Source organism: Homo sapiens, chromosome 7 (genome assembly GCF_000001405.40).
Source record: "Homo sapiens chromosome 7, GRCh38.p14 Primary Assembly".
Classification (NCBI taxonomy): Eukaryota; Metazoa; Chordata; class Mammalia; order Primates; family Hominidae; genus Homo; species Homo sapiens.
In genome coordinates this window covers 122282660-122294957 of record NC_000007.14, presented here as the reverse complement: position 1 = coordinate 122294957, position 12298 = coordinate 122282660, and the positions used below count along the sequence as shown (strand labels likewise).

At 37.7% G+C, this 12298-nt stretch overlaps 1 annotated feature.

The window, feature by feature from the left end:
• Positions 10292-10897: an enhancer, noted in NCBI's record as "H3K27ac-H3K4me1 hESC enhancer chr7:121924115-121924720 (GRCh37/hg19 assembly coordinates)". NCBI's record gives its function as "activates a minimal SCP1, AML or CMV promoter by ChIP-STARR-seq in primed H9 embryonic stem cells {active_cell/tissue: H9 hESC(primed)}" and the evidence as "EXISTENCE:reporter gene assay evidence [ECO:0000049][PMID:30033119]".

Here is a 12298-nt window from a genome sequence, read left to right as displayed (position 1 = left end):
TTGTTTAAAAATAATATTGGAGAAGAGGAATAGGTATACATATAGATCAAATAAGAGCTATAATATTAATCTTTTGATAATCATTAAAGCTGGATGATGATAAAGATTGTATTATACATTCTGAATACTTTCAAGTCTTAAATTGTTTTGTTTAAAACAAAAAGTTTTAAACAACTCCTCCAGTGAATTGTACCATGTCACAAAAATTCTTCCCTAAACACTCATAACCCTATAACCCTGAAGCATTACTTGTATTTTTTACATTTTTTTAAATCTGATTTCAGGAATAATACCATTACTATATAGAGCTTTAAACTTTTGTGAAAAAGTTTAAAAATTAAGTAAAATAAGATATGCAGAAATTTTGAAATGGGAAAGGAGGTAGAGACATAAAAGATGCCTTTCAATAATTATCAGTTAATGATATAAAGGAAGAGACCAATGGATCTGTTACTCTTGTAAGAAGAAGGGAAAATTGAGGGCCAAAGACAATAGAAAAATTATATTTATTAAAGCTATTTCAGATAGTAAGGAAGAAACATATATAGGTTCCACCCTATAAATATGTATAGGGTTGTAACTGTCATCTACCTAATAGAGACCAGGGAATTTGCTAAAATTTCTTAAATGTATAGGATAGTCCCATAAAATAAAGAATTTTCTGGACCAAAATGTCAATAGTGCCAAGACTGAGAAAACCTTACTTAAAGCTTCTAGTTCCCAGGGCAGGTTCTAATAGGGTCAGTTTGGCCTCTTTAACTGACCTATTCATCTGGGTATTAATTCATAGTCCACTCAATCAAACAAACAAAAAACTGTAAAACTAGGCAACATATGTGAAGCATCTGTTTTAGGTATTTAGCAATAGACTGTGCAGAACTGTCATCATAAAAATCTGGACTCCCAATAATATAAAATCTATAATATCTAGCACACAATAAAAATTAATAGACATATAAAGAAGCAAGACAATGTGACATATAATTTGGAGAACAAATAAGCAATTTAAAGAGATCCCAATCTGACAAAGATGTCAGGATTAGCAGGCAAGGACATTAAAACAGCTGTTATAAAAATCTTCAATAATTCAAAAAAATGGGACATAAGTAAATATATGGGTAATCTCAGCAGGAAAATAGACACTATAAAACAAGAACAAATGAAAATTTTAAAACTGAAAAATAAACCTGAAATTTTACTGGATGTCTCTAATAGCATATTGGACAATGCAGAAGAAAAAAAAAATCCATAAACTCTAAGACAGGTCACTAGAAACCTAAATTGATACTCTGGCAAATCAAGATTATTACATATTTTATATATATTATCATATAAAATACATATAATCATATATATGTATATATATATTAAACAACAGACAGTCATTTTTTCATAGTTCTGAAGGCTGAAAATCCAAGATCAAGGTGTTGACAGATTTAGTTCCTGGTGAGGACTCTCTTTCTGGCTTGCAAAATGCCACCTTCTCGCTGTGTGCTCACAGGGCCTTTCCTTAGTGGTTGCAAAATAAAATTAAGGTGCCGGTCAGACTGAATTCCTTCTGGAGACTCTAGGGAAGAAATTTTGCTTTTTCCAGCATTGAGAGGCCACCTGCAGTACTTGCCTCACGGTCACATTCTTGTTTTATATGTTTTAAGCTTTTATATGTATGATCTTATTTGATTATCTTTCAAAAATTATGAGTTAGACCACACTTAACAGCATCATTTTACAGTTGAGAATTTTGAGGATTTTAGAGGTGAAGAGACATGCTCAAAGTCACCCAGCAGTCAGAAGACAGAACTAGAAGACAGAATTAAAAGGCAGAAGAAGACTGGACCATGGTGACTCCAAGACAAAGACACTTTAAGCTATCATAACAGAGAAATATTGGAATCAGCAAGCCCTGACAGTTAATGTCCTGGTAAACTAAAGGAGTATGGCTTATGAGAGCCAGAACCAGAACCAGGCATGGCTCTACTTTACAATAATGATTAGCCAGTGGGGGCTGGTTTTTTTCAATATCCCCACAATCAGAAATGAAATTACACTCTTAAAACTCACAATTTGATATCAAATATAAGAAGGAACTCCTAATTGTAAAGAAAAAAAAAGATTTCACAGCTGGATGCATTGGCATGACCTTGTAATCCCAGCTAATTAGGAGGCTGAGGAAGGAGAATCTCTTGAGCCCAGGAATTTGAAACCAACCTGGGCAATACAGTGAGATCCCATCTCAAAAAAATTAAATAATTAAATTATATTAAATTAAATGATTCTACAGTAATACAATCAGGAAAGTTACAGAGTTTTTATGGCTAATGGTAGACAATGGAGTACTATATGATTAAGTTGGTTGGGCACTCTTTGCCTTTGAGACAATTAACATTTCTTCAAGGCATTTACCTAATCAATATATCAAATGTGGCATACAAAAAGTTGGAAAACTAGTATGATTAAAAAAGAAATAGCTAGAAGTCAGGACTATCCTTAATGTCACACAAAGTAATTGGCAGAAAATGCTAAATTCTACTGGATAATCCTTGGTGCATCTTAATACATAGCTATACAGTTCAAATACATGTATATTCCTATTCAATTAAGTACCGATATTTTACAGGGTGAGTTTAAAATATTACATGAGAAATCAAATAAATTTCAAGTATGTAGTGCATTGTTTCAGTCTTCATCACAGAACTTAAAGGACACCTAGAATGGAAACTTGAAAGAAAAACTTGAGAAGTACTAAGAAAGCTAAATCAGTCAGTCAACAAAAATGTATTGTGTGCATTATGAGACAGGACTTGTACTAAATGCTATTGCAATAGTGGTACAATAAAGAACATTGTCTATGTTTTGATGGATCTCAACCATAATGTATTTAATATGAAATAATAAATAATTATAAGCATAGAAAATAGTATGAAAAAGAAGTAAGAGTTTCTGAAAGGAGGATCTAATAAAGTCAGAGTGAAAAAGGTGGTTGTTTGTAAAAGCTTTCCTGAGGAAGTGATTTTAACAGGAGTATTTTTATCACCATCTGTATCTTTCTTGTATGTAAGCCATTTTTTTCAATAAAAGACTTAAATCTTAGGGAAGAGAAGAAAATATATTTCTTGAACAATAAGATTATCTTTGTATTTTTATTGTACCTTGAGTTTCAGAGTTAGTCTTTTGGATCTATAGTTAGATGTCTTAAAATCTAGGCTTTGTAAGGAAAAACTTTTTTTATTAATCTCAAAAGTCATATTTTGTCCTGCTGAATATTTTGAGATAGTTTCAAATATTAATACCAAACACATAAGATACAAGTATAATTATGTTTATAAATTCATCTGTTTGGCCTGTGTAAAAGAAAAGTCAATTTTGGAAAATGATACTTGAATCATGCAACTTAATCAGGGGATGATTCCAATTTTAGCTGGTGTCCCAGTTATGGTTTCTTCTGGAGTAATTAAACATATCCCATGGGCCTGGCATACTGCTATCAATTTGGAAAATGTTCCTTTTCTTTGGTGATGATGAGTAAAGATTGCCTGACAACATTTGCTTTTACTTGGCAGGGGTAGCAATACACTTTCCTCTTCTTACCACAGAGCTATGTGAATTCTCATGATGCCTGCGCAATTTTTACTGCACAACGTTCACTTCAAATTCTAAAATGGCAGCATAGAAGTAAGCTGACTTCACTCCCTGCCTCAAATAGAAAACCAACAAAATATATACAGCACCAAGATTATTACCAGCAATATTCCAGAACTCATATATGAGAAGGAGACAGTTCCCAGGGCCACAGAGAAGTGAAACACTCCCAACAGCTTGTAAGAGAATTGGATTTTCATAACTGTGGTGCCCCTCCCCTCAATCTGCCCAGCACCAAACTCATGGAAAATTAATATGGGAAAAAGTAATATGGAGGTGGACACTCAGCTTTCCCATCATCTTGGGCTACCTGGCAGGAGACCTGTTCCTGACTTAGCCCATAGGCAGCATTGGGAGTGTCTGAAGGAAGAAGTATCCTTGAGGACAACCAGAAACAATGGGGAGAGGTGAGACTACCATCCCTAGCTCTGGAAATTCTGCTCTATAACCTGACAAAAGTAGATTCCAAATTGGAGTGGCTGTTCAGCAGCACAAGCTGTAGGAGGTTCATTTGACAGGTCCCTTGAGCATAAACCCCTAGCTAACCTTCCACATTGCCAGGCTATCCCCGCTTTGGACTTATCCCATGTGGAATGGGTGGTACTCTGAGTCTTTAACTAGAGCTGAGGCAAACCTGGGCTTAAGGTGCCATCTAATGCCAAAAAGGAGACAGTGTCCAAGTGTGAACAAAATAAAGAAAATCAACACATAAATTACAAAGAATCTCTGTGCAAACATATCCAATAAAAACCAAAACAAGCCAGACAGAGAAGATGGATAAATAATTCATATTTCAATGTGAAAAAATAGACATACATCCACAGGAAACAATAGCAGACAGAGAACCATAACATCCTCAAATGGAAAAAGCATGGAACCAGTCACTGACACTAACAAGACGGTGATATGTGAACTCTCTAAGTAATCAAAATAACAGCTTTAAGGAAACTCAGTGATCTCCAAGATAACACAGAAAAGCAATTAAGAAATTTATCTGGGAAATGTAGCATAGAGGTTAAAATTAAAAAAAAAAATCAAACAGAAACCATGGAACTGAGAAATACACTTGCTAAATTGAAAAAGGTAATAGAGGCTCTCAACATCAGAATGAGTCAGAGAAAAGGAACAAGTGAGGTTGAAGACTAGCTATTTGAAAATATGTAGAGTTGGAAAAAAAATAATAAAAAGGAAGACCAGACCTATTTTACAAGAAAGCCTAAGGGAATCTTTTTTTAATCTGAGTTTGGTATGCATAGCATGATTCCATTACCAAAAGGAAGTGGTAGGTTTGAAATTTGGTGTAATTAAATCTTAAAAACACAAGTATGCTGCAAGAACAGGTGGTCCAAGATTTCATGTCACTTATATTTTAATCTATAGTTTTGGGCCCTTGGGGACATTCTGTATTGACTGAGGGAAGGAAAATAAATGAACCTAGTTTAAAGATCATTCTGCATGATATGCTGACTGAAGGACAGTTCTCTGTATAGCCTTGACAAACCTTGCTCCTCCCTCTTTCTCACTTGCAGTTCTCAAGAATAACTGTAGAATACACTGGGAATGCAACATCCTGAGATAAGGATGAACTGGCTGAAACATCCCTGACTCTATTCCTGTGTGTCCTAAGACAGGAAGTCCTGTATTGCTTTAGCCCGGTGGTTCATGTGACCCCCAGGGTATAAAACTGATGTGATATGGAGCACATGCAGACAGGATTCCTTCTGCCATATGTAGCTTTCCTGAGGCTTGGGGACTGGCTCACTATGAATCCTAGGCTTCCACTGTCCCTGATGCCTATCTGTGAGTAATAAAGTTGCTTTGCTTAACTGATGTGAGTGTTCTGTTTCACAAGACCCATGCAAGTAGTAGAAAATGCTGCTCAATGAAGGATATGAACAGACATTTCTCAAAAGAAGACATTTATGCAGCCAACAGGCATATGAAAAAATGCTTATCATCACTGGTCATTAGAGAAATGCAAATCAAAACCAAGATGAGATAGCATCTCACACCAGTTAGAATGGTGATTATTAAAAAGTCAGGAGACAATAGATGCTGGTGAGGCTCTGGAGAAATAGGAATGCTTTTACACTGTTGGTGGGAGTGTAAATTAGTTTAACCACTGCGGAAGACAGTGAGGTGATTCCTTCAGGATCTAGAATGAGAAATATCATTTGACCCAGCAATCCATTACTGGGTATATACCCAAAGGTTTATAAATCATTCTATTATAAAGACACATGCACACATATGTTTATTGTAGCACTATTTACAATAGCAAAAACTTGAACCAACCCAAATGCCCATCAATGATAGACTGGATAAAGAAAATATGGCACATATATACTATGGAATACTATGCAGCCATAGAAAAGAATGAGTTTATGTCCTTTGCAGGGACATGGACGAAGCTGGAAACCATCATTCTCAGCAAACTAACACAGGAACAGAAAACCAAACACCACATGTTCTCACTCATAAGTGGGAGTTGAACAATGAGAGCACATGGACATAGGGAGAGGAATATCACATACAGTGGCCTGTCAGGGGGTGGGGGGCAAGGAGGGGAGAGCATTAGAACAAATACTTAATTCATGTGGGGCTTAAAACCTAGATGATGGGTTGATAGGTGCAGCAAACCACCTTGGCACATGTATACCTATGTAATAAACCTGCACATTCTGCACAGAACTTAAGGGAAAAAAAAGGACCTCGTTATCAAAAGAAGAAGAAGAAGAAGGAGAAGGAGAAGGAGAAGAAGAAGGAGAAGGAGAAGGAGAAGGAGAAGAAGAAGAAGAAGAAGAAGAAGAAGAAGAAGAAGAAGAAGAAGAAGAAGAAGAAGAAGGAGAAGAAGAAGAAGGAGGAGAAGAAGAAGGAGAAGGACAAGGAGAAGAAGAAGAAGGAGAAGGAGAAGGACAAGGAGGAGAAGAAGAAGAAGAAGAAGAAGAAGAAGAAGAAGAGGAGGAAGAAGAGGAAGAAAATGCTGTCCAAGATGCAAAGGGGGGAAGCGGTAACCAGTGCACCGTCAACCTGCTTCACACTAACACCAGAGAAGAAAGAAGAAAGAAGAAGCAGAAGCAGCAGCAGCAGCAGCAGCAGCAGCAGCAGCAGCAGCAGCAGCAGAAGAAGAAGAAGAAGAAGAAGAAGAAGAAGAAGAAGAAGAAGAAGAAGAAGAAGAAGAAGAAGAAGAAGAGAAGAGAAGAAGAAGCAGAAGAAGAAGAAAAGAAGAGAAGAAGAAGAAGCAGAAGAAGAAGAAAAGAAGAGAAGAAGAAGAAAAGAAGAAGAAGAAGAAGAAGAAGAAGAAGAAGAAGAAGAAGAAGAAGAAGAAGAAGAAGAAGAAGAAGAAGAAATGCTGCCCAAGATGCAATGGGCTGAAGCGGTAACCAGTGCACTGTCAACCTGCTTCACACTAACACCAGTTAGAAGTGAAACCCTGAAGCGTTATAATCCCAAGTAGACAAAACCTTCAGAGACAGTGGATAAGGGAAATTCTCTTTTTAAAAAGAAATTTCGAGTAATACATCTGTTGCCCACTTGAAGGAACAAAGGCAAGAAATATGTATCTACATTTATTCACAAGATACAGCTAATTATTTGTCTACACGGTCAAGGACTGAAATGGAACATGATTGGAAAATTTGTGAAAAGAAGACCTAGAAAACAGAATGGTAAAATGGACATTTCTTAATGGGCCCAGAATGTTAGGATATTTATGTCCCATATGATTGGTCACTAATGGGTATCAACTAGGATGAAATTTTTTGATCATCAGGTGAACAAGATTACTTGCTCTGGGGTTATGAATCAATCTCTCTCCCTAGCTGTGATGGTTAATGCTGAGTGTCAACTTGATTGGATTGATGGATGCAATGTATGGATTCTGGGTGTGTCTGTGAGGATGTTGCCAAAGAAGATTAACATTTGAGTCAGTTGGCTGAGAAAGGCAGGCCCACCCTTAATCTGAGTAGGCACAATCCAATCAGCTGCCAGCATGGCCAGAATAAAAAGCAGGCAGAAGAGTGTGAAAACACTAGACTGGCTTAGCCTCCCACACTACATTTTTCTCCATGCTGGATGCTTCCTACCCTCACATGTGGGACTCCAAGTTCTTCACCTTTGGGACTCGGACTGGCTTCCTTGCTCCTCAGCTTGTAGATAGATAGAATAGGCATAGAATTTGGGATCTGTCATTTTTGAGGAGAAGATAAAGTTAGTTTAGTTTGTATGAGCGATTATTGTATTGTGTTAGGCAGGAGAATGTTGCAGTTTCTTGGAAGTTCATGTTAAAAGATTGTGTATAGACACTGACTAGTCAAATGGAGTAGACCTTGCTGGATGTTGCCTACTGGCACTTGACATCTGTTTCCACCCTCTTTCCACTGTAGTGCAGGTGACAGAAGCTAAGGACATTTCTGAGACATGTTTGCTGCCAGAGTACACATGTAATTTAGGTTCTACAAATGAAGTATATCTGAGTAAGACGTGGAAGACTGAAAGAAGTGGAAAGCCATTCTTCTTAAAGTGATTGTAGCTGACAGACAGACTTGCAGATATGAGTCTTTTTATCTCTCAACTTCATGCATTACTGTCTAATTGCTGTTGATGTATATATGGGTGGTATAATGTTGGCAGTAATTATAGCAAAATTGGCTATAATATGAATTTAAGCCCAGCGCTACCCCATATCTTCTGCTCTATCAGCTGTTTTAGTAAATTGAAAAATAGCTTTCCACTTTGATCCCTGTCTACTGGAAATATCTAAGGCGTTTTTCTTTGCTGTATTGAAATCAGTGTAATATTGGTAGAGTTATGTGCCATATAATCATATTTTGGCTAGTGATGGACATCATGTATTATGTGGTCCCATAAGATTATAATACTGTATTTTTGCTGTATTTTTTCTATGTTTAAATACACAAATGCTGGCCATTACATTACAACTGCCTACAACTGTTCAGTAACATGCTGTACATGCTTTTAGCCTAGGAGCAATAGACTATACGATAGCCTAGGTGTGTAGGAGGCTCTATCATTTAGGTTTCTGTAAGTACACTCTATGATATTCACACAATGATGAAATTGTGCATTTCGCACATCTTTCAATGACAGATGATTGCATTGGGATAGACAAATAGAAAAATGGAACAGGAAAGAGAGTCCATAAATGAAACCTCATATATAAACAAACTTGATTTATATAAGAACTGGCACTGCAGAAGACCAGCAAAGAAAGGAAAAACCATTCAATAATAATGTTGAGTGAAGATGTTAACGTGGAAAAAATAAGATTGGATCCTTACTTCAGACCACACATAAAAACTATTTTCTGGTGAATCAAAGACTTATATGTGAAAGAAAATATATTACAATATTTAAAATATATTTTTCTATTGTTTCTTTAAGACTTTGGAATAAGAGTTCATTAACAAATAAATATATATTGCTAAAAATAGAATGGGAAAGTTTGATAAATTCTATTACATTAAAACTAAGAACTTATGCTTATCAGAAAACACCGTAGGAAGCAAACATACTATATACTTGAAGAAGGTATTTGCAACACATAACAGCTAAAACAACACACATAATTGTCTAATAGTAACCAACATATATAAAGAAGCTTATAAAAAAAATTGACAAGAAAACTGATAGAAAAGTGAGTAAGCATTTGAAAAGGAATTACACAGAAGAGAAAATAATAAAAAGCCCATATACATGTGAAAAATGCTTAACCTTCTTAACAATGATCAAAATACAAATTATCACCATAGTGAGATCCAATTTCATACCAAACCACCTGAAAAAATTAAAATTGTTAGAATAGCAAGGATGGTGAATATTCAGGTCATCCTCAACACTATAACCTCCTAATGAGAAAGTTACCTATTTATCACTTTAGAAATATTTTGTCATTGTCTAGTAAGTTTGCCTGTACACATTTTCTATCATCTAGATATTCCTCCATTAGCTACATACTTTAAAGAGTTTTTGGAACACAGGTTTCTATAGGTATGTACAAGAATTCATAATAGCACATTTATAATTATAAATACCTGAGAACAACCCTAATGTCTATTAGCAGGAAAATAATAAATAAATTGCAGTATATATATATAACCTCATAGTATACAGCAATGAAAATAAATGAATTACTGCCACATGCAAAAAAAAGAGTGAATCTCAAGAAGATAATTTAGATAAAAATGCTTAGGTAAGTAGGAAGAAATAGTTTTAGAGTAAATAAAATTAAAAAATAATGAGTAATGAGAAAAAATAATGAGTAAAACAATAGAAAAGTAAAGTAACTAATAATGAGACCATGTTGGCTTTTTAGAAAAAAAAGTAAATCATGATATTAAAAAGTATTGGGGCGGAGGGAGGAGCCAAGATGGCCGAATAGGAACAGCTCCGGTCTACAGCTCCCAGCGTGAGCGACGCAGAAGACGGGTGGTTTCTGCATTTCCATCTGAGGTACCGGGTTCATCTCACTAGGGAGTGCCAGACAGGGGGCGCAGGCCAGTGGGTGCGCGCACCGTGCTCGAGCCGAAGTAGGGCGAGGCATTGCCTCACCTGGGAAGCGCAAGGGGTCAGGGAGTTCCCTTTCCGAGTCAAAGAAAGGGGTGACGGACGCACCTGGAAAATCAGGTCACTCCCACCCGAATATTGCGCTTTTCAGACCGGCTTAAAAAATGGCGCACCACGAGACTATATCCCACACCTGGCTCGGAGGGTCCTACGCCCACGGAATCTCGCTGATTGCTAGCACAGCAGTCTGAGATCAAACTGCAAGGCGGCAGCGAGGCTGGGGGAGGAGCGCCCGCCATTGCCCAGGCTTGCTTAGGTAAACAAAGCAGCCGGGAAGCTTGAACTGGGTGGAGCCCACCACAGCTCAAGGAGGCCTGCCTGCCTCTGTAGGCTCCACCTCTGGGGGCAGGGCACAGACAGACAAAAAGACAGCAGTAACCTCTGCAGACTTAAATGTCCCTGTCTGACAGCTTTGAAGAGAGCAGTGGTTCTCCCAGCACGCAGCTGGAGATCTGAGAACCGGCAGACTGCCTCCTCAAGTGGGTCCCTGACCCCTGACCCCCGAGCAGCCTAACTGGGAGGCACCCCCCAGCAGGGGCACACTGACACCTCACATGGCAGGGTATTCCAACAGACCTGCAGCTGAGGGTCCTCTCTGTTAGAAGGAAAACTAACAAACAGAAAGGACATCCACACCAAAAACCCATCTGTACATCACCATCATCAAAGACCAAAAGTAGATAAAACCCCAAAGATGGGGAAAAAACAGAACAGAAAAACTGGAAACTCTAAAACGCAGAGTGCTTCTCCTCCTCCAAAGGAACGCAGTTCCTCACCAGCAACGGAACAAAGCTGGATGGAGAATGACTTTGACGAGCTGAGAGAAGAAGGCTTCAGACGATCAAATTACTCTGAGCTACGGGAGGACATTCAAACCAAAGGCAAAGAAGTTGAAAACTTTGAAAAAATTTTAGAAGAATGTATAACTAGAATAACCAATACAGAGAAGTGCTTAAAGGAGCTGATGGAGCTGAAAACCAAGGCTCGAGAACTACGTGAAGAATGCAGAAGCCTCAGGAGCCGATGCGATCAACTGGAAGAAAGGGTATCAGCAATGGAAGATGAAAGGAATGAAATGAAGCGAGAAGGGAAGTTTAGAGAAAAAAGAATAAAAAGAAATGAGCAAAGCCTCCAAGAAATATGGGACTATGTGAAAAGACCAAATCTACGTCTGATTGGTGTCCCTGAAAGTGATGGGGAGAATGGAACCAAGTTGGAAAACACTCTGCAGGATATTATCCAGGAGAACTTCCCCAATCTAGCAAGGCAGGCCAACGTTCAGATTCAGGAAATACAGAGAACGCCACAAAGATACTCCTCAACAAGAGCAACTCCAAGACACATAATTGTCAGATTCACCAAAGTTGAAATGAAGGAAAAAATGTTAAGGGCAGCCAGAGAGAAAGGTTGGGTTACCCTCAAAGGGAAGCCCATCAGACTAACAGCTGGTCTCTCGGCAGAAACCCTACAAGCCAGAAGAGAGTGGGGGCCAATATTCAACATTCTTAAAGAAAAGAATTTTCAACCCAGAATTTCATATCCAGCCAAACTAAGCTTCATAAGTGAAGGAGAAATAAAATCCTTTACAGACAAGCAAATGCTGAGAGATTTTGTCACCACCAGGCCTGCCCTAAAAGAGCTCCTGAAGGAAGCGTTAAACATGGAAAGGAACAACCGGTACCAGCCGCTGCAAAATCATGCCAAAATGTAAAGACCATTGAGACTAGGAAGAAACTGCATCAACTAACGAGCAAAATCACCAGCTAACATCATAATGACAGGATCAAATTCACACATAACAATATTAACTTTAAATATAAATGGACTAAATGCTCCAATTAAAAGACACAGACTGGCAAATTGGATAAAGAGTCAAGACCCATCAGTGTGCTGTATTCAGGAAACCCATCTCACGTGCAGAGACACACATAGGCTCAAAATAAAAGGATGGAGGAAGATCTACCAAGCCAATGGAAAACAAAAAAAGGCAGGGGTTGCAATCCTAGTCTCTCATAAAACAGACTTTAAGCCAACAAAGATCAAAAGAGACAAAGAAGGCCATTACATAATGGTA